Consider the following 24004-nt stretch of genomic DNA (forward strand, 5'->3'; position numbering starts at 1 on the left):
GCTGATATCGTACTACTACACTCTAGACTGGGTGACAGAGCGAGACTCTGTCCCAATAAATAAATAAACATCTACATAAATAAATAAATAAAATGAAAACCTTGGCTTTACCAGCCCTAACTTTCTATAAATTTATTCTCTAAGAGAAAATATCAAAAGAAAAGACTGCCTCATGTTAAGATGGAGTAACGGGGACTGGATTTACCTTCCTGTCTAAAATAATTTAAAAATGGAAAAAAACTGTGAAACAACAACTTTCAAAATATTGGAAATCAGACAACAAAAGACAGTGATTCTTGAGAGAAGGAAAACAAAAAAGGTAAGCCCTAAGATTGACCCAGACTAACTCCAGGGAGAATGTTTATAGGCTACAGCACAGGGAGGGAGAGCCCAGACAAAGCCTGACAGTCTGTCCGAGTTGAGGAGACAGAGCTGGAAGTCTGGGAGAACCACAGCCACTAGAGTCTTCAGGGCAGATAATGGAGATTGGGGAGTGGAACAGAGAAACCTGGGGTCTGCGGAAGGTGCCTCTTGAATATTCGGCTCAGTACTGCTTAGCACCTGTATGAGAAGAAACTGTTTGAGGGCAGGAAAAGAACCACCTGAAAAGATTAGAAGGAATAATCTTCTAAACTCCTGCAAGGGGAGGAACAGTGTCCGTCCACCACTCAGAGTGGAAGACTTCATAATGCACAGGGTATCAGGTAGAGTAGCCAGAGGTCTTGCCTCAGTAGTGGGAAAAAATTATCCCTACTCTAGTCTTGCTAACAAAGCATAAAAGTAAGAACTGAAAGGATCAAATTGTTTCAAAATAGCAATCTGATTCTTAGAACAAAGCTCGGGAATATTTATAGATATCCTGTTCCCCCAAAAAATAAAAACCCATCACTCAACATGTTAACATTCAAGGAATTGAAAGCAACCCAGAAATAATATTAGAATTGGATTACATATGAGATTAGAAAAAGACTCAACATGTCAAGTAGAGACACGAAAGATGTGAAAGGAGATCCAAATGAAACGTCGATAGTATTGCAGATGTAAAACACACTAGATGGCAATAAAGGCAAATTAAACATTGCAGAAAAAAAAGTGAGCTTGAAGACAAAGAAAAAAATCCTAATTTAAAACACAGAAAGAACAAAGTAAACAAAGTCTCAGGGAGCTGTGGGAAAACGTTTACCTATATTTTCACCAAATACAGGTGAAAGTGGCGTTTACAAGGACAGTAAAAAGAGAACAGGATGTAAACATATTTGAAGAAATAATGGCTGAAAAATTTCTAAATATGATGAAAACCACAAGCCCACAGATCTCAGAAGCTTAGCAAAGTCCAAGCACAAGAAACATGAAGGAAACTACACAAGGCCCATCATAATCAAATTTCTCCAAACCAGTGAAAATGATGAAATCTTAAAAACAGCCAACGCAAAAAGATACATGACATACAGAGGAACAAACATAAGCATGATAACAGATTTCCTCTCTAAAACAATGCAGGTGATAATAAAATGGAGCACCATGTTTAAAGTTGGGAAAGAAAAGAAGTCAACATAAAATTCTATACCCAGCAAAAATATTTTTCAAAAACAAAGACAAAATAAAAAGTCTTTTTTAGATATATAAGACCTGAACGAATTTATCATAAACAGAACTGTACTACCAGGAAAGTTAAAAGTCTTCTAGGCAGAAGGAAAATGATATCAGGAGAAAATCTGCATTTACAGAAAGGAATAAATAGCACTGGAAACAGTAACTATGAAGGTAAATAGAAAAGGCATTTTCCTGTGTATTTAAATCTCTGGGAAAGACAATTGTTTACAGTCAAAAACAAGAACAATACAGTTGAGCTTATAACACTTGTATGATAAAAATAGCATAAAAGTGGGGAGGGCAAAAATGGAAGCATATGGTTGTACAATTCTTAAATTATATGTTTATATGTATAACATTACTAGAACTTACATTATACTGAATTAAATACATATGCTATGAACTCTAAAGCAATCACTAAATGACAACACGGAATAATAACTAATAAGCCAAAAATGAGATAAAATGAAATGATAAAATATTCAAATAATCCAAGAGGAGATAGAAAAAGATGAGTAAAGAGAAAAAGCAGATGGGAAAAATAGAAAACAAATAACAAGATGGTACATTTAAAGCTAACCGTGGCCGGGCACAGTGGCTCACGCCCATAATCCCAGCACTTTGGGAGGCGGAGGCGGGTGGATCACCTGAGGTCAGGAGTTCGAGACCAGCCTGACCAACATGGCAAAACCCCGTCTCTGCTAAAAATACAAAAAGTAGTCAGGCATGGTGGCATGAGCCTGTAATCTCAGCTACTCAGGAGGCTGAGGCAGGAGAATCGCTTGAACCTGGGAGGTGGAAGTTGCAGTGAGCTGAGATCGCGCCGTTGCACTCCAGCCTGGGTGACAGAACGAGACACAGTCTCAAAAAAAAAAAAAAAAAAAAGAAAAGCTAACCGTGTCAATATCACATTAAATGTAAATAGTGTAACCACTTCCCCTCCCAATAAAGGCAGAGGTTGTATAAAAGACTGAATAAAAAAGTAAGCCCTGGCCGGGCGCAGTGGCTCACACCTGTAATCCCAGCACTTTGGGAGGCCGAGGCCGGCAGATCACGAGGTCAGGAGATTGAGACCATCCTGACCAACATGGTGAAACCCTGTCTCTACTAAAAATACAAAAATTAGCTGGGCATGCTGGCACATGCCTGTAATCCCAGCTACTCAGGAGGCTGAGGCAGGAGAATCGCTTGAATCCGGGAGGTGGAGGTTGCAGTGAGCCAAGATCGTTGTCACTGCACTCTAGCCTGGCGACATGGCGAGACTCTGTCTATAAATAAATAAATAAATAAATAAATAAAAGTAAGCCCTAACTATATGCTGCCTACTATTATCCACTTTAAGTGAAAAGACACAAATATGATTAAAGGATATTAAAAGCTATAAAACTTTAGTATGCTAATATTAGTACCCTCTCAAAAAAACCAAGGGTGTCTATATTAGTATCAGAAAATGATTTCAAAACAAAGAATATGACCAAGAATAAAGATGACCATTTTATAATAATACAGATTACAGGCATGAGCCACTCTGCCTGGTCCAGTTGTTTTTTAATTGCAAAAGAAATTCAGTGAGAAAAGAGCAAACAGTTTTTTCAATAAATAATGCTAATATGCCCTCCAAATGAACTTTGATTCATAATTAGTATCATAAAAAAGTTTACTCGAATGGGTCATAGACTAAAAGTGAAAAACCAAAAATTATAAAACTTCAGAAGAAAGCATGAAATCCTTGAGACCATGTGTTAGGCAAATATTTCTCAGATATGCAACCAAAAACACAATTCATTAAAAAAATAAATTGGACTTCACCAGCGTTAAAAACTTCTGCTCTTCAAAAGATACAGTTAAGAGAATGAAAGACTAGCTACAGACGGGGAGAAAATATTTGCAAATTACACATATGGTAAGCAACCAGAATGTATACAGAACTCTCAAAACCCAATGATAAGAAAACAACCTAATTAAAAAGTGGTCAAAAATGTGAACACTTTGCCCGAGGAGTTATACAGCTGATATACAAGCACATAGGATGTCCACATCATTAATCATTAGAAAAATTGAAATTGAAATCATAAGATACCATGACATACCTGTTAGAATGTCTAAAATCAAAAAGACTGGCCATACCAAGTGTTGGCAAGGATGCTTTCCTATACAGCTGGTGGGAATGCAAAAATGGCACACTTTGGAAAACGATCTGGCAATTTTTTAAAAAGTTAAAGGTACACATACCGTATGATCCAGCCATTCACTCCTAGGTATTTACCTAAGAGAAGAGGAAGCAAATGTCCACCCAATGACTTGTACATGAATGTTCGTAGCAGCTTTATTTGTAACAACCCAAACCGGAAATAAATATTCATTAACAAATGAAAGGAGGTTGGGCACAGTGGCTTACGCTTGTAATCCCAACACTTTGGGAGGATGAGGTGGGCAGATCATTTGAGGTCAAGAGTTTGAGACCACTCTGGCCAACATGGCAAAACCCAGTCTCTACCAAAAATACAAAAATTAGCCCGGTGTGGTGGTGCATGCCTGTAACCCCAGCTACTCGGGAGGCTGAGGCATGAGAATTGCTTGAGCCAAGGAGGTAGAGGTTGCAGTGAGCCCAGATCGCGCCACTGAACTCCACCCTGGGCCACAGAGACAGATTCTGTCACAAAACAAAACTAAACAAAACAAAAAAAGAAAGGATAACCAAATTATGATAATTTCATACAACGGACTACCACTCAGAGATAAAAGAGTTGATTGAGCCACATAAGAATGTGAATTAATACGAAAATAAGTAAGCTGAGTGAAGGAAGCCAAACAAAAAAACCAAGTACTTACTGTAGGAACCCATTTTTCTTAAGTTCTAGAAAATGAAAACTTATCTATATTGACAGAAAGCAGACCAGTGATTGGCCCAGGCAGAGTGGGGCAGGAGACAGGGATTATGTAAGGGTACCAGGAAACTGTGGGTGATCAACATTTTGGTTTGGTAATAGTTTCATGTGTATGTGTGGGTGTAGGCATATATATGTCAAAATCTATCAAAGTGTACACCTTAAAATGTGCATGTGTATGTCAATTATTCCTTAAAGCTGTCAAGATCTCTTAAAATTAAAAAAAAATTGAAATAAGAAAAGCATTTGATGTACATATGATATTAAAGTTAAACATGATGAACTAAACTCTGACTTACTGGACCCCTTCAGTAATCATGAACTTCTTTCTCACTTTACAGGAGAAATACAAATAAAAATTAAAAAGCCAATCAGAAACAAGTCTGTTTATTACTCTATATGTAGTATATATTCATCGATACCAATTGGTTCTATTAAATTATTTAATAGCATATCACCTAGTAAACTCTTCTCGGCACTCCAAGGAATGTCTGGAATGGGAGAAAAACACTCAAAACTACAGCGACATTAAGAGTTTTAATTAACAGGAAATATATTTAGATAAAACATTAAGTATATGGGCACTTAATGAGTGTTTCTAGGTGACCTTAGTATCTAAAATCCGTTTACTTGACTCACAAACATTAACAGTATTTTTTTGTCCCTGTGCTAGGCTTCAAAAACGATGGGTGTGTTTGCGTCTGGGATCATCTTTCTGGCTCTCTGGAACGCCAGTACATGTACTGAGCCTAGGAGGCAGCTAGCCTGTTGGCTGTACCAATTCAGCAGTTCCAATTGAACTGCTCTCCACTCACTCTGCCAATGCTGGACATACTTCTGATTGTATTTGTCTGCAATCTCTTCAATTTCCTGCCTTTCAGAAAGTTATAAGCCATGATGTAGCTTTCACTTGCCTGGTATAGACATTTGCAAAAACAAATCCAATGACACCATGGGGAAAGAAGCTTGATGCCTTTAATAGGTGCTCATCAGTCTTCTAGTTGATCACTTTTTCTGTCCTAGGAAAGGGCTTGCCTTGATGAATTTTTTTCCTGCAATTTATTCTTCCCCATTACTCTCCTTTGCTACAGTTTTGTTATAATTAGCAAATAACTTGGATATCTCTTAGACTTCTCATATTTTCCACATAGTTTCCAACAAATCTGCATCCATATTCACAAATTTGTAATGATACAAATCCCTGGGCTGATACATTTGAAAAGGAAGTCTGTGCAAAATCATAAAGAGAATAGGATTGAATATTCCTATCACACTGTATTGGAGGGGATTGATTAACACATTTAGAAGAGATTCTTACCTCTTCTAAAACACAAGCTGATTTTTCAACATAAGTGGATCAGGAAATCCTTGTTGACCTCTTACCAGTATTTAAACACAAACCCTTTTGAAACTTGCTCTTCCTTTGGCTTCTAGAACTCCTGGTTAACCTCTTAACTTCTCCAGTCTAGTCTGACAGCTCTTCCTAGTTTACATGCCCCAAAAGTGAAAATGTAGATATTTCCCAGGGCTCTCTAAACTCTCTGCCAAAAACATCTCATCCACCCTCATTAATGGCTTAATACCCCCTGCTGAATTTCTGAATCTCTCCACTCTCCACTCTCCACTCTGGAATTGCACAGTCTGGCAAGGAAACCGCTAGCCACTAGTGAGCACTTAAAATGTGGCTGGTGCAAACCGAGACATACTAGAAAACACACAAGAGATTTTGAAGACTTGGGTACAAAGGCCGAGGTGGGTGGATCACCTGAGGTCAGGAGTTCGAGACTAGCCTGGCCAACATGGTGAAACCCTGTCTCTACTAAGAAGACAAAAATTAGTCGGGCATCATGGCGGGTGCCTGTAATCCCAGCTACTCAGGAGGCTGAGGCAGGAGAATCGCTCGAACCCAGGAGGCGGGGGTTGCAGTGAGCCGAGATTGAGCTATTGCACTCCAGCCTGGACGACAAGACCGAAACTCCGTCCCAAAAATAAATAAATAATAATAATATAAAGTATCTTAAGTAATTTTTATATTGATTATATGTTGAAATAACAATATTTTGGATATACACCATGTACCCTTGAACAACAAAAGTTTAAACTGCACGAGTCCACTTATATGTGGATTTTCTTCAGCCTCTGCCACTCCTGAGACAGCGAGACCAACTCAACTTCTTCCTCCTCCTCTTCAGCCTACTCTACGTGAAGATGACAAGGATGAAGACCTTTATGATGATCCACTTCCATTTAATAAACAGTAAATATATTTTCTCTTCCTTATGATTCTCATAACACTTTTCTTCCTCTAGCTAATTTTATTGTACTAATACATAATACATATAACATACGAAATATGTATTAATCAACTGTTGATGTTTTTGGTCAACAGTAGGCTATTAGTAGTTAAGTTCTGGGGCAGTCAAAAGTTATATGTGGATTTTGACAGTGTAGTGGGTCATGACCCCTAACTCCTGCATTGTTCAAAGGTCAAGTGTATTGGGTTAAATATATTACTAAAATTAATTTCACTGTTTCCTTTTATCTTTTCTTAAAGTGTGACTGCTAGAAAATTTAATATTACATACATGGCTTATGTGACATTTCTGCTGGGCAGCGCTGCTTTACACCTAAAATTCAAACTGACTATTCAAACTGAACACATTAGAAACTGAACTCATTATATTTCAGACCCTGCTCCGTCACTGTCAGGATAGAATAAACCTTAGCCTTCAGGAGACAGATACACCGCATTACATCGGCCACTGCTGTTGAGGAAATTGTCTAACAAAGCAGCTAATCCTAGGATCAATTACTTATGAATAGGCGACACGGTGACTCTGGTCATTGTTAAAGAGCCTGTCAACATTCACTCATTGGCAGCTGCAGCAGGAATGTTTGTACAACTGGAAAATAACAAGCATTTGACGAGAAGTCGGCAGCAGGAATTAGGAACAAAGACAGCCAGGGTTTTGCCAAAATACTGGATAAAATTTACATGCATTCGAAGTCAGAAATGTTAGCAGTCACACATGTAGTTGTGACACATTCTCTGCAGGTAATTGAACCACCCTGATGTGCCAAAATTTTTTGCATTACCTGGCTCGTGAAATCTTCCTCTTCATCTAGGCTGAAATCTGGAATCATTTTTTTTACTATGCTTTCCTTTATTCCCATATCCAAGCAAATATCAAATTATGATTCTACCAACACCCAGTATGCCACACCCACATTTTTTTCCTCCTTAAAGAAAACCAGAGAAAGGAAACACAGGTTGTTATGCTTCCCCCATGACCCCACAAGTTCTGGGGCTCAGAACAGAGTAGGAAGAAGAGGTCGAGAGAGACAATCTCCAGGTTGCATATTTCTGCTGGTAACACAGCATGGTAAGGTCTGCCTCTATGTTATTGCAGAGTAATTTACAAAAAAGTACCCTGTTCTTTACAGTTTTCCTCCAGTAGGAGTAACAGGTTGTTGGAAATGCAAACAGACTAAAGAGAAAGGCCCCCAAGAAACCCAAGGATAATCTGGGAAAGGCTCTAGAACACAACAGACACAATTTTCCTTCTTTGCTTTTTTCTTTTCTGTCCTTCACTCTAATCTTTCTTATTGCCTTTCTTTTTCTAATTCTAAAGTTTCTCTTTACAGAAACTTTCCTAACTGTGTGGGTGGGCCAAACACAGTTTGGTCACTTTACACGGTAGGATAATATTCATAAATGATTTTGGATTATCTATTGGCTTGCATCAGAAGAAATAATTGCGAGTTGCATATACACCAGGCATTTATGTCAACTGAACCATTACATGTACACCTTAGTACATTTTTTTTTTTTTTTTTTGAGACAGAGTCTCGCTCTATCACCCAGGCTGGAGTGCAGTGGTGTGATATCAGCTCACTGCAACCTCCACCTCCCAGGTTCAAGCGATTCTCCTGCCTCAGCCTCCCGAGTAGCTGGGACTACAGGTGCATGCCTATACATTTTTAAACTTTTTGAGCTTAAACTAACTGACAATTGTCTAAGCATATGCTATATGTCAGACATTTTTACCTGGCTACTTAAATTTTATAGTTTCTTTTTTTTTTAAGACTGCATACTTAGGTTGTGCAAGTCCCTGTTCAATAAAAGTATGCATAATTTTAAATTAGAAATATCTTCCTTTTTGAAATGGGAACGCAGTCATATTGAGACAATGGCCTTTTTAGCATTCCTGAACAACTTGAAGTTAATGGTCCAATATGTTTTTTATAGTTTACTTTTAAACATTGTTACTTAGTTTAAAAGATGCTTTGGCCAGATTTTTGCTTGAAGAAACTAATCTGGCCTAATTTACATGCCATAAAAACAGATTTATAATGGAAAGGTTGACACATTCAAACATATATTGAGTTTAATTTCAGAAAAATTAACATCATATTCTTCTACTGGAATAGATTTCAAGAATTAATTAAAATAATTGCCTCAAAAATTGCCAATTGGTATTTTAAGAGTACTATTCCTCCTAAGATGTTTCATATCTAGCATATCTAGATTTGACTAGATATGACTAACTGGGGTTTTTAACTCTTTGCTAAACCAACAAGTCCACTTTGGGCATCTGTTTTAAGATGTAAATGCATCTGGTTGTCATAGGCTCCAAATGAAGGTAATAAGCAGTAAAATTATATTGTACAAGGAAACAGGCTATAGAAAAGAACTAATATTTTAAATCAATTTTTCCTAATACATGTGAGCTGTTCATGTACTCTAAGTATTTTTATACTTATTGCCAGCAAAATATTCTAGTTGGTTTGCAATGTGTAGGTAAGTTAGAGTCTCTTTACAGAAACTTTCCTGTCTACTGATGCACAGATTTAAACAAACAAACAAACAAACAAACATGTCTTTGAATCTATCTATTGTTGTTATGGTTTAGACTAACAAGCTCCATCTAGTTATTGTTTCAGCCAGTTCCTTTGGTGTTTAGTTGGTGCCTATGGTTGCCTCTATCCTTTATTATTTATGTGTTAAGTAAACACTATAGCCAATAGAATTGTGAGTACTACTGCTTGTCCATATGCTGTACATTTTCTTTCATCAAAAATCAAATTATGGAATGATTATTTTACTAAGTACATTTCTATGCTTTAATTTAGAAAAATTCTATCTCCATACAACTTTTCTGCAGCATAAATCATCATAACACACTGGCTGGGCATTGTGACTCACTCCTGTAATCCCAACACTTTGGGAGGCCGAAGCAGGAGGATCACTTGAGGCCAGCAGTTCAAGACCAGCCAGGGCAGCATGGCAAGACCCTGTCTGTATACAAAATTAAAAGAATTAGCCAGGTATGGTGGCATGCACCTGTAGTCCTGGCTACTTGGGAGGGTGAGGCAGGAGGATCACTTGAGCCCAGGAGTTCAAGGCTGCAGTGAACTATGATTGCACCACTATACTCCAGCCTGGGCAACACAGCGAGACCTTGTTTAAAAAGAAAAAAAAAGTCATGATAACACATGGCTTGAATGCAGCCATGATGCAGCAGGCAGGCACTTTTGTGTCTCTGAATACCTCCTTTAGAGAAATCTTAGTGATGCCTAAGTTTCTTTCCAGGCTACATTTACCAAACTTGGACTAAACCACAAAGTCATTCAACTGTACCTTTACTGCACCATTCTCATGCATGGTGATGCAGTTATCGGCGTCTTCTGAGAGTTGGTACAAGGCCTGAGCTGTCGCCCGATGCACGTTGGTGTCATTTGATTTCAGATAACGCACTAGTGGAGCCACTGCTTTGTGCTCACCGAAGGCCACTCTATTCCTGCCCCACATACAGCAACGTGAAATAGCTTCTGCTAGATGATGTCTCAATTTATTGTTATTCTGTGCAAGGGAAAATGAAATGGGATCTGTGCATTGTAATGACCCTGCAAGATCATGTCTATAAGCACTTTATGTTTATTAACCATTAAGACACCAATGAGTCTAGAGAAAAGGGCTAGCTGGCTGACTACCTAGGTGATGTTTTGAAGGAACTAGTCTTTTTTAGATGGAGTCTCACTCTGTTGCCCAGGCTGAAGTGCAGTGGTGCCATCTCAGCTCACTGCAAGCTCGGCCTCCTGGATTCAAGTGATTCTCATGCCTCAGCCTCCCAAGTAGCTGAGATTACAGGTGCCCGCCACCACACCTGGCTAATTTTTGTATTTTTAGTAGAGAAGGGGTTTCACCATGTTGGCCAGGCTGGTCTTGAACTCCTGGCCTCAAGTGATCCACTCACTTTGGCCTCCAAAAGTGCTGAGATTACAGGCGTGAGCCACTGCACCCAGCTGAAGGAACTAGACTTTTGGTGGGTCACCAACAGACCAACGTTCAATCTTGAGTTTTCTTCTTATGAACTGAATGTAGTCAGTGCACTCAAAGGTGACCAAGCATCTGACATCAGTCATTAGCTCAAGGCTAGATTTTCTTTAGAGTGAGTCTACTACACAACGCAAAATTACAGATCAGCAAGTTATTTTGTAATCCAAATATTTATAGAATATTAGATATCCTTAAAGGGATACTGCACTTAACTGGGATAAGTGGATTGACTGGATTTCTCCACCCTAGGAATACATTGATATCAGTAATACACCTTGGTTGCCTTGGCTCCTGAGAGGGAGAAGAGAGTGCAGCAAATCCGAAGACACATTTTGGGTCTTCCATTTTCCTTTCTGTATTTTTTGATGCAGACGATATCCTTCTTTGTATACGTAATTGCCCTGTAATGGGCATACTATTACTGAATCGGATGGTTTTGTGTTTATTAAGAGTACTGCTCTCTTGATTCAGGCAACAACTTGGTGTCCTTAACTGAATCTGACAGATATTCTTAGGAACTCAAAGTCTTCTAGACCAAGCATCCTTCCAGGGTTTGAATTTCTGCTCTATGACTTTTCTGCCAAGTGGTAGTCCAAGCTATGCTCAAATACCTCTGGTCATGGTGAAGTCATTGTCTCTCAAGGCTGCTTATTCTGTCTGGCACAGCTCTGGATAAACAATGAAATGATTGCCAAAGTCTTCTAGCTCAAGAATGCCATCGACTGAAGCTTGCTAAACTGGGGAGGCACATTTGATTTCTAACGTTGGCATGAAGAACCATCGAGAATCATAACCATGATGGTGGCGGTGAAGATGATAGTTAACACTTACATAATAGCACTTGTATTTGCCAGTTTACTTGCCAGTGGCAAATAAAAAACAGCTTCTATTTTACAAGGATCTTGTAATACTAACATTTTATAGTTTAAAATACGCTTTCACATATATTAGTCTCAGAGAAACTAAATGAGTTGACCAAATCTCATACCTCATAAGCAATGGGTATTAAACTTGAATCCAGGTTTCTGGACTGCAAATGCATTGTTTTCATCACTACACCATGATATCTCAGGACAATATGCATGTAAAACAAAAAGATGTGTTACTTACTGTATTTGCCAGTTTGGACAATAAAGGAACAACTCCATGATCTGTGATAACAGCTAAATTTTCTTGATCTTTTGCTATGTTGGTAATGGCAGCACATACACTTGCCAGAACTTCTTTGTTATCTGATTTCAGTAAATTGACAATAAGTTCCAAACCACCAACAAAGGAACGAACCATTTCCCCAGCATCCTAGACAAAAATAAAAGTAAAGATGGTATCAAAACTAAACCTACATTTAGGCATTTTTTAAGAGGCAGAAAGTAACAATACAGCTGTGAGGTACATCTTTGGCATGAAAGACTACTTCAACTTAATTTATTTCTATATTATATATTATTTCTACATGTATATGTATAAAGTGTGTGTGTGTACATATGTATAAGTCTATATACATATGTAGCACATATAAAAATTCAGTTTCAAAAAATATTTATTGAATATTACAGGAGAGTCACTGTGTTAGCTACTGAGGATATCAAAGTTATTAAAGTACAGTTGATTCTTACTATTTGTGGTAGCTTTGTTCTATAAAGTAATTGCAAACACTGAATCAGCCAATACTAAACTTTTTCTCTTAGGAGAAACATAGGACTAGGTTCCTGCAAGCCTCTGGCTACAACATTTTCATCAGTTGATGGATACATAACCTTGTTTTATGTGTATTTCTGTTTGAAGACACCTGATTTCATATATATTGTTCATTCATTCATATTGAACTCATGGCCAACAGCATTATAGCTCATGCAATGGAGCTTATTTAACACAGATATTTTCTCTTTCAGGCACACCACAGCCTTCTTGCCCTTACAAACCATAGGCAGCACCTCAGCACCACATCTGGGGGCCACTGTGAACAGTGAAATAACCAACAAAAAGCACAAAAATCCAAAAATTATGGCACTAAATGGACTGCAAAATGGACACTTGCTTACAGTATGAGAAATGAAACAAGAAGGCAGAGAATCGCCTTCTTCAGCCTCAGCTGAGAACGTGTGCATTGGACGACTCAAATTTTTCACTTCTCTGTGCATGTCCAAGAATGACCATATTGAGTAGGGGGTTACAAGTAAATTTGAGCAAGTAGGCAAATTCCCAAGGAGAATTTGTGAATAATGTGGATCGACTTTATATATTCTTTTGCCATGATGTTGCCTACAACTGGTGGGGAAGATGGGCATTAAGAAATTACAAGTATAACAAATAGCACTGGAGGGAGGAGGAGATGAAGAGACTACAAATCCATACAATGAGGAAACCTCAACTAATATAAAGGTTCAAGGGCTGACTCCCCAAGGCCTAAGGGACAAAAAGTTATCCAGCGTGAAAGGGATTCTGGTTGGACAAATCATCATGTTGCACAGATCTGACAGCGAGAGAGAAGGTGATTTTTTTTTTTTCTAGTTCAGAATGACTGGAGCACAAAATAAGAAAGGCAGCATGGGAGAAAGTGAGACTTAAGAGGTGAGATCTTGAAGGGTCTCACCTTTAAGATCCTTCAGGGAGCATCTTGGTAAAGGGTTTGGAGTTCATTTTTAAGGGCATTGGAAAGCCCCTGAAGAGGCTGAAGTGTGGGGGAAGGATTTTTATCAATTTTTTATCTTAGAAGATTTCTCAGAATTACAGGGTGCAGGGTTGGAGTGGGTGCAAAGAATGGTATAGGGAACACAGGGGCTATTTCGCTAGACCACATGGGAAGTGGTGATGGTTTGGGGGAGGGTGGTGGTCTATGCCTGGAGAGAAGATTGTGGATTTGGGAAGCTTGCTTGGAGAAGATAGAGATGAGTGATTTGAGATGATTCCCACGTCTCTGGCTCAACTTAGTAGGGCTAATGTTGGAAGAGCTGGGTTTGGTTTGACTTGGTTTGGTTTTCTTGGGGTGGCATATGATATTAGAAGACCTAATTTGAATGAAGTACCCACAGACATTTAAGTGGAACTATCTAGGATGCAGATGAATGTATGGGCTTGGAGCTTAGAAAAAAAAAACAGGCTGGAAGTGGAGATTTGGAATTCATCAGAATAAAGACTGTAACTAAAGCCATGCAAATTAGAGAGTGAGGAGTGAAGTGAGAGTGGAGAGTGAGGTGAGAGCGGGGAGTGAGGTGAGAGCGGGGAGTGAGGTGAGAGCGGGGAGTGAGGTGAGAATGGGGAGTGAGGTGAGAGTGGGGAGTGAGGTGAGAGTGGGGAGTGAGGGGAGAGTGAGGAGTGGGGTGATAGTGGGCTCTTTCTGGTGTCCCAGGTGTGGGCCAAGGAAAAGAATTTGTCAGAAGATCTTGGAGTCAGATCTCCACCTTCTCTAAGGTTGTATGGGGGTGAGTGTAATGTCCACCAATTACTTGGCTCTATCACTTTCTCAAATAATAATAATTCACATCTTTTGCATCCCAACGGCGTATCAGGCATGGTACTACGCACTTCACATAAGTTATTTCAGTTAAACCTCACAGGAATCATGCAAAATGGGTATTATTTCCATTTTAGGTTTTTAAAAGTGAGGCTCAAAGAGGTTGAACCTTATAAAATAGATTGTATCCCTCATGAAGGTAGGCACCATGTGTTACTCAACTGAGTGATCATTAGAAACCGTAAATCTGATGATCCCATCTCCATACCCACCAAATTCTTCCACAGCAACCCCTGCCCTTAGGATAAAATTCAAACTCCACAACGTTGTTTGCAAACCTTTCAAGGTGCACCCCTGGTTTATCTCTCCAGCCTCAACTTCCCTGCCTTGACACCTCTTCTCCAACCTCCCCCACATATACCCTGAGCCAGTGGCTCTCTATGTGAGCTAATAATAAGAACCCTGGCACTCATTCCCTGAGAATGTGATTCATTAAGTCTGGGTGAGGTCCACTAAAATATTTGTATTTTTAAAAACTCTCCAGCCAGTAGAGGGAACACTACTTTATGAATTAGTCCTTCAGTTTTCATGTCCTCAAATGTGCATGTCTCCACAAGTCTGCACAAACCTTTTCTGTCTGTCTTCCTGTTAGCTTGGGAATTCCTACACATCTTCAGCTGCCAACTAAGGTATGCTCTTCTTCAGGAAACCTTTCCTGAACCTCAAGTCTGGGTTAAGTGGCATCTTCCATAATACCTGGTTCTCCTGTATGACAGCACCTATCACTGCACATAGTTGTGGTTTCTTTGTTTGTCTTTGACCCTGAACTGTAAGTCCCAGGAGGGTGAGGACTCTTGCTGTCTCATTCATTGTTGAATGCCTGGTACCTATGCCAGTTTCTAGCAGTTAGTAGATACTCAACTAACATTCATTGAATTTGATTGTTTGCAAACTCATAGCCTTAAAAGAAAGCTTTCACTGTGGTTACAACAAACCAAACTAAACTCCTACTAAATGGTGAAGGCAGGACACGAGTCAGGTTCTATGCAAGTGTGAGGGCGAAGCCACTTTCTCTCTGTAACACGTTGCCTTACCTGATTGCTGAGAGAAGTGACAGCAGCAATATTGGTGGGCTGGTTCTCAATAGTAAATCTAAATACAATTTCTGATAGTTAGGACATACTTCTAAATTCTGATGTATTCATAAGCTTATTTGGAAAAATAGTTAATTGCCATTCTTTGTAAAATTCTACAATAAAGATTTCTGTGTAATACAAAAGAAATGATTATATTTTCAATTGTCTTCTATACTGTCACTTTATTACACTTCTATGCATTAGGATGCTCTCAAATCAAAATACTATAAACATGAATGTATTAACCTTGAAATATCCAACACTGTTTAATCCTAATTACCCTTTGAGGCAGTTAGTGGTGGTAGATGGAGCTTTAGTATTTGCATGTCATAGATGAAGAAAACCCAGAGGAATAAATTAACATGTAAAAGGTAAAATGACAGAGTGGCAGAAGCAGGATTTGATTCCAGATCTGTCTGACCCCAGAGCCCCCTCACAATATTGTGATTTGTAAATCCTAACCATATACTTGGCTCAAATGAGGCCATGCACATGTAAATTCAAAAGCAAAAACAGGGGCTCTTAGAATTTCAGGGGACTTCAAAAGCATAGCCCCAAAGCTCAACTTTTCCAAGGATCATCTTGGTCCAATTGTGTTACTATGAAGGGATACTTTATAAATTACTGGGTAATTTATAAAGAAGATAAGTTTATTTGGCTTATGGTTCTGCAGGCTTTACAAGAAACATGGTGCCAGCATCTGCTTCTGGTGAGGGCCTCAGGAAGCTTCCACTCATGGTAGAAGGTGAAAGGAAGTAGGCATCACATGGTAAAAGAAAGGAAGCAAGAGAGGGGAGGGAGGTGCCAGACTTTTTAAAAGACTTTTAACAATCAGTTCTGGTGGGAACTAATAGACCAAGAAGAACTCACTCATTACAAAGCTGGCACCAAGGCATTCATAAGGGATCAGCCCCCATGACCCAAACTCCTCCCATTAGACCCCACTCCAACACTGGGGATCAAATTTCAACATGAGATTTGGAGGGGAAAATATCCGAACTATCTCAATGATGTTATAGATGTCAATAGTCTCATACATTTGTCAATGACAAAATCACAGAACTTCTTTTTTTTTTCTCAAGAAAACCGGGAGGAATTCTGGACAGATGATAGTGGCAAAGTGTTTGAATCTCATTCTCCCTATGAAAACAGTGCAGATAGTAGAGCAAAACAAAAAACACAATGGACAATATACACCATAGTAGGTGAACAAGATACCCACAACTGACCCCAAAGCACAAGCAGACTTGGAGGGACAAACTAGCAACCACAGTGGGAAGGCAGAGGCATTTGTGAAGGTCTTGAGAGCCAAGAAACCCCAAAGGGCCATGAAGTTCTCACTGGAAAGTTCCAGAACAGCAGCAGAAGCAGCTGCGAATGGACTTTTCAGGCTGTGATGAACGGATAAGACTACAATGCCACAAAGTCTGATGGTGCTGGGGTGTTCTGTTAGGCCTGAGTTCCATGAATTGGTAAAACTACAAACTGAAGCCTTTTCTGGGACAAAGCCATGCACAGAAGAGAAACTACACGGAATAGCATCATCCAAATTGAGCAACGCAGAGACACTGGGATGAAGGACTAAGAAAGTTCAGATAAAAAGGGAGGGTGGAAGCAGAGGGGCCAGAATGCACCCTGCATCACTGTGAAGATGACAATGGAATCCTGGGAATCAAGAAAGTAGCAGTGCCATCCTAGTCCACATCTCCCTTCTAAAAGACCAGGAAAACTCATTTCACTTACAAATAAGCAAGGGCTGGGTGCAGTGGCTCACGCCTGTAATCTCAGCACTTTGGAAGGCTGAGGCAGGCGGATCACTTGAGGTCAGGAGGTTGAGACCAGCCTGGCCAACAAAGTGAAATCCCATCTCTACTATAATACAAAAATTAGCTGGGCATGGTGGCGTGAACCTGTAATCCCAGCTATTTGGGAGGCTGAGGCATGAGAATCGCTTGAACCTGGGAGGCAGAGATTACAGTGAGCTGAGATCACTCCACTGCACTCCAGCCTGGGTGACAGAGCAAAACTCTGTCTCAAAAAGAAAAAAAAAAAGCAGTATAAAAAAGACTCCAGTCAATTTCCATATACAGTTATTATAAGAAATAAAAAACATGAACAAACACTTCTCAAAAGAAGACATTTATGCGGCCAACAAACATGAAAAAAAGCTAAATATCACTGACTGTTAGAGAAATGCTAATCAAAATCACAATGAGGTATCATCTCATGCCAGTGAGAATGACGATCATTAAAAAGTCAAGAAACAACATGCTTGTGAGTCTGTGGAGAAATAGGAATACTTGTACACTGTTGGTGGGAGTGTAAATTAGTTTAACCATTGTGGAAGACAGTGTGGTGATTCCTCAAGGATCTAGAACCAGAAATAAAATTTGACCTAGAAATCCCATTACTTGGGTATATACCCAAAGGAATATAAATCGTTCTATTATAAAGACACATGCACACATATGTTTATCGCAGCACTATTCACAATAGCAAAGCCATGGAATCAACCCAAATGCCCATCAATGATACACTGGATAAAGAAAATATGGTAGATATATACACCATGGAGTATTATGCAGCCATAAAAAGGAATGAGATCATGTTCTTTGCAGGGACATGGATGAAGCTGTAAGCCATCATCCTCAGCGAACTAACACACGAACAGAAAACCAAACAACACGTGTTCTCACTCATAAGTGGGAGCTGAACAATGAGAACACATAGATACAGGGAAGGGAATAACACACATTGGGGCCTGCTGGGGCACGGAGGGAGGGAGAGCATCAGGATAAATAACTAAGGCATGCAGGGCTTAATACCTAGGTGATGGGTTAATAGGTGCAGCAAACCACCATGGCACACATTTACCTATGTAACAAACCTGCACATTCTGCACATGTATCTTGGAACTTAGAATAAAATAAAATAAAATAAAAATAAATAATAAAATAAAATTTTCCTGTAAACATAAAAAAAGAGAATAAGGAGCAAAATCATGCTCTTACGATGAAAGCACATTAGAAAGACATGCCTACAAAACAGATGAAAACTGTAAGATAAAATTTCAATAGGAGCTAAAGGAAAATAATAAAAGCAATGAATGAAAAACCTAAATTAGAATTGCTGAAGTTGTAATTAGGTGATTAATTTAAAAAAGCAACTTTTTAAAAGACAGATGAAAGATATCTATAAAGAATTAGATATAAAATAAAAATGCATTTTTGAAATGAAGAGTGAACTAGAAGGAGCACAAGAACAAATAAAGATAATGGATAATCTTTGTCAATAGAAGATGTGAAAACTGAAGGGTAATGTAAAAATAGTTAACAAAAAATTCAAGGCAACAAATAGGCAGAGAAGATCTAACACATGTATGTAAGAGTCCCCAAGAAAGAAAACAAATCTCTACAATAGGGCACATTTTAAAATCTAGAATAAAAAAATCTTTCTCCTGAAATAAATAAAACCTGAGAGTATACTGAAAAGTTATATATTTGGAAAAATTGACCCAGAGTGGCGTAATATAAAGATATATTCTGGTACAACTTCTGGACTTAAAAAAAAAAATCTATAATCAGCAAGCAAAAAGACTAAGTCACTTTTTTTTCTTTTTTCTTTTTCTTTTTTTTTTTTGAGATGGAGTTTCACTCTTTTGCCCAGGCTGGAGTGAATTGGCACGATCTTGGCTCACTGCAACTTCCGCCCCCTAGGTTCAAATGATTCTCCTGGCTTAGCCTCCCAGGTAGCTGGGATTACAGGTGCATGCCACCATGTCCGGCTAATTTTTGTATTTTTAGTAGTGACAGGGTTTCACCATGTTGGCCAGGCTGGTCCCGAACTCTTGACCTTAAGTGATCCACCTGCCTCGGCCTCCCAAAGAGCTAGGATTACAGGCATGAGCCACCATGCCTGGCCGACCAAGTCACTTCTAAGGGAAAGAATAAGACATTATCATTAGACTTTCCAACAGTGATGTTTGATGATGTGGGGAAGGGAGTGACACCTCTAAGCTACTCAAGGAGAGCAAATGCAAATCAGTGTTCTAATATTGAGTCAAAATGACCTTCAAAGTAAAATATATATATATATAGTTGGAAGTATAAAATTTTATAAACATGGGAGATTTCCAGGAATGATGTTAACACAAGTTCTTCACTTGAGAATGAATGTCAGATCTCCAAAAAGTCTAGAAGGACATTAACAAAAGGGCTGTCAATGTCTTAAAATCCTCTATTGGCTTCATTTTTCTTCAGAATAATCATTAGCATGACATTCAGGCATTTCCCGATCTGGCCCAACCTCAATCTTTTCTCTCCCAATCTCAATCTTTTCTCTCCCAGTCTTCTCTTTGGCATAGTCTACACTCCAGCCTCCTGGAAACTGTTTCCTAAAGTGCCAGATTCCTGTACATCTTTGAATCTGTTATTTTCTTTTTTAATATTATTATTATCACACTTTAAGTTCTAGGGTACATGTGCTCAACATGCAGGTTTGTTACATATGCATACATGTGCCATGTTGGTGTGCTGCACCCATTAACTCGTCATTTACATTAGGTATATCTCCTAATGCTATCCCTCCCCCATCCCCCAACCCCATGACAGGCCCCAGTGTGTGATGGTCCCCTTCCTGTGTCCAAGTGTTCTCATTGTTCACTTCCCACCTATGAGTGAGAATATGCGGTGTTTGGTTTTTTGTCCTTGCGATAGTTTGCTGAGAATGATGGTTTCCAGCTTAATCCATGTCCCTACAAAGGACATGAACTCATCCTTTTTTATGGCTGCATAGTATTACATGATGTATATGTGCCACATTTTCTTAATCCACTCTATCATTGATGGACATTTGGGTTGGTTCCAAGTATTTGCTATTGTGAATAGTGCCACAATAAACATACGTGTGCATGTGTCTTTATAGCAACATGATTCATAATCCTTTGGGTATATACCCAGTAATGGGATGGCTGGGTCAAATGGTATTTCTAGTTCTAGATCCTTGAGGAATCGCCACACTGTCTTCCACAATGGTCGAACCAGTTTACAGTCCTACCAACAGTGTGAAAGTGTTCCTATTTCTCTACATCCTCTCCAGCATCTGTTGTTTCCTGACTTTTTAATGATCGACATTCTAACTGGTGTGAGATGGTATCTCATTGTGGTTTTGATTTGTACTTCTCTGATGGCCACTGATGATGAGCATTTTTTCGTGTGTCTATTGGCTACATAAATGTCTTCCTTTGAGAAGTGTCTGTTCATATCCTTTGTTCACTTTTTGATGGGGTTGTTTGTTTTTTTCTTCTAAATTTGTTTGAGTTCTTTGTAGATTCTGGATATTAACCCTTTGTCAGATGAGTAGATTGCAAAAATTGTCTCCCATTCTGTAGGTTGCCTGTTCACTCTGATGGTAGTTTCTTTTGCCGTGCAGAAGCTCTTTAGTTTAATTAGATCCCATTTGTCAATTTTCGCTTTTGTTGCCATTGCTTTTGGTGTTTTAGACATGAAGTCCTTGCCCATGCCTATGTCCTGAATGGTATTGCCTAGGTTTTCCTCTAGGGCTTGTATGGTTTTAGGTCTAACATTTAAGTCTTTAATCCATCTTGAATTAATTTTTGTATAAGGTGCAAGGAAGGGATCCAGTTTCACCTTTCTACATATGGCTAGCCAGTTTTCCCAGCACCATTTATTAAATAGGGAATCCTTTCCCCATTTCCTATTTTTGTCAGGTTTGTCAAAGATCAGATGGTTGTAGATGTGTGGTATTATTTCTGAGGGCTCTGTTCTGTTCCATTGGTCTATATCTCTGTTTTGGTACCAGTACCATGCAGTTTTGGTTACTGTAGCCTTGTAGTATAGTTTGAAGTCAGGTAGCGTGATGCCTGCAGCTGTGTTCTTTGGACTTAGGATTGTCTTGGCAATGCAGGGTCTTTTTTGGTTCCACATGAACTTTACAGTAGTTTTTTCCAGTTCTGTGAAGAAAGTCATTGGTAGTTTCATGGAGATGGTATTAAATCTATAAATTACCTTGGGCAGTATGGCCATTTTCACGATATTGATTCTTCCTATCCAAGAGCATGGAATGTTCTTCCATTTGTTTGTGTCCTCTTTTATTTCGCTGAGCAGTGGTTTGCAGTTCTCCTTGAAGAGTACCTTCACATCCCTTGTAAGTTGGATCCCTAGGTATTTTATTCTCTTTGAAGCAATTGTGAATGGGAGTTCACTCATGATTTGGCTCTCTGTTTGTCTGTTATTGGTGTATAAGAATGCTTGTGATTTCTGCACATTGATTTTGTATCCTGAGACTTTGCTGAAGTTGCTTCTCAGCTTAAGGAGATTTTGGGCTGAGACCTGGGGCTTTCTAGATACACAATCATGTCATCTGCAAACAGGGACAATTTGACTTCCTCTTTTCCTAATTAAATACCCTTTATTTCTTTCTCCTGCCTGATTGCCCTGGCCAGAACTTCCAACACTATGTTGAATAGCAGGGGTGAGAGAGGGCATCCCTGTCTTGTGCCAGTTTTCAAAGGGAATGCTTCCAGTTTTTGCCCATTCAGGATGATATTGGCTGTGGGTTTGTCATAAATAGCTCTTATTATTTTGAGATACGTCCCATCAATACCTAATTTATTGAGAGTTTTTAGCATGAAGTGCTGTTGAATTTTGTCAAAGGCCTTTCCTGCATCCATTGAGATAATCATGTGGTTTTTGTCTTTGGTTCTGTTTATATGCTGGATTACGTTTATTGATTTGCATATGTTGAATCAGCCTTGCATTCCAGGGATGAAGCCCACTTGATCATAGTGGATAAGCTTTTTGATGTGCTGCTGGATTCAGTTTGCCAGTATTTTATTGAAGATTTTTGCAACGATGTTCATCAGGGATATTGGTCTAAAATTCTCTTTTTTTTCTGTGTCTCTGCCAGGCTTTGGTATCAGGATGATGCTGGCCTCATAAAATGAGTTAGAGAGGATTCCCTCTTTTTCTATTGATTGGAATAGTTTCAGAAGGAATGGTCCCCGCTCCTCCTTGTACTTCTGGTAGCATTCGGCTATGAATCCCTCTGATCCTGGACTTATTTTGGTTGGTAGGCTATTAATTGTTGCCTCAATTTCAGAGCAACAATTGGTCTATTGAGGGATTCAACTTCTTCCTGGTTTAGTCTTGGGAGGGTGTATGTGTCCAGGAATTTATCCATTTCTTCTAGATTTTCTAGTTTATTTGTGTGGAGGTGTTTATAGTATTCTCTGATGGTAGTTTGTATTTCTGTGGGATCGGTGGTGATATCCCCTTTGTCATTTTTTATTGCGTCTATTTGATTCTTCTCTCTTTTCTTCTTTATTAGTCTCGCTAGTGGTCTATCAATTTTGTTGATCTTTTCAAAAAACCAACTCCTGGATTCATTGATTTTTTGAAGGGTTTTTTGTGTCTCTATCTCCTTCAGTTCTGCTCTGATCTTAGTTATTTCTTGCCTTCTGCTAGCTTTTGAATGTGTTTGCTCCTGCTTCTCTAGTTCTTTCAATTGTGATGTTAGGGTGTCAATTTTAGATCTTTCCTGCTTTCTCTTGTGGGCATTTAGTGCTATAAATTTCCCTCTACACACTGCTTTAAATGTGTCCCAGAGATTCTGGTGTGTTGTGTCTTTGTTCTCATTGTTTTCAAAGAACATCTTTATTTCTGCCTTCATTTCATTATGTACCCAGTAGTCATTCAGGAGCAGGTTGTTCAGTTTCCATGTAGTTGAGTGGTTTTGAGTGAGCTTCTTAATCCTGAGTTCTAGTTTGATTGCACTGTGGTCTGAGAGACAGTTTGTTATAATTTCTGTTCTTTTACATTTGCTGAGGAGTGCTTTACTTCCAACTATGTGGTCAATTTTGGAATAAGTGTGATGTGGTGCTGAGAAGAATGCATATTCTGTTGATTTGGGGTGGAGAGTTCTGTAGGTGTCTATTAGGTCCACTTGGTGCAGAGCTGAGTTCAATTCCTGGATATCCTTGTTAACTTTCTGTCTCGTTGATCCGTCTAATGTTGACAGTGGGGTGTTAAAGTCTCCCATTATTATTGTGTGGGAGCCTAAGTCTCTTTGTAGGTCTCTAAGGACTTGCTTTATGAATCTGGGTGCTTCTGTATTGGGTGCATATATATTTAGGATAGTTAGTTCTCCTTGTTGAATTGATACCTTTACCATTATGTAATGGCCTTCTTTGTCTCTTTTGATCTTTGTTGGTTTAAAGTCTGTTTTATCAGAGACTAGGATTGCAACCCCTGCCTTTTTTGTTTTCCATTTGCTTGGTAGATCTTCCTCCATACCTTTATTTTGAGCCTATGTGTGTCTCTGCACATGAGATGGGTCTCCTGAATACAGCACACTGATGGGTCTTGACTCTTTACCCACTTTGCCAGTCTGTGTCTTTTAATTGGAGCATTTAGTCTATTTACATTTAAGGTTAATATTGTTATGTGTGATTTGATCCTGTCATTGTGATGTTAGCTGGTTCTTTTGCTTGTTAGTTGATGCAGTTTCTTCCTAGCATCGATGGTCTTTACATTTTGGCATGTTTTTGCAGTGGCTGGTACCAGCTGTTCCTTTC

General features: G+C 39.0%; 1 protein-coding gene across 27 annotated transcripts in view, besides 1 other annotated feature; it reads right to left on the reverse strand.

Annotated features, from left to right (window-relative positions):
- Positions 1–24004, reverse strand: part of ODAD2 (outer dynein arm docking complex subunit 2) — a 187508-nt gene that overhangs the window by 38335 nt on the left and 125169 nt on the right. For 26 of the 27 annotated variants that reach the window (XM_047425404.1, XM_024448052.2, XM_047425414.1 and 23 more), the window contains 2 exons: positions 11932–12120; positions 10123–10344 (listed from right to left, as the gene is read on the reverse strand). In XM_047425404.1, coding sequence (XP_047281360.1) covers positions 10123–10344; positions 11932–12120 — 411 coding nt within the window. Of the gene's footprint in view, positions 1–2739; positions 2862–10122; positions 10345–11931; positions 12121–24004 lie in introns of all 27 variants that reach the window. The other variant, NM_001290021.2, reaches the window with a different exon arrangement.
- Positions 7027–7650: an enhancer, noted in NCBI's record as "OCT4-NANOG hESC enhancer chr10:28146458-28147081 (GRCh37/hg19 assembly coordinates)". NCBI's record gives its function as "activates a minimal SCP1, AML or CMV promoter by ChIP-STARR-seq in naive and primed H9 embryonic stem cells {active_cell/tissue: H9 hESC(naive and primed)}" and the evidence as "EXISTENCE:reporter gene assay evidence [ECO:0000049][PMID:30033119]".

Source organism: Homo sapiens, chromosome 10, assembly GCF_000001405.40.
Source record: "Homo sapiens chromosome 10, GRCh38.p14 Primary Assembly".
In the NCBI taxonomy this organism is placed as follows: domain Eukaryota; kingdom Metazoa; phylum Chordata; class Mammalia; order Primates; family Hominidae; genus Homo; species Homo sapiens.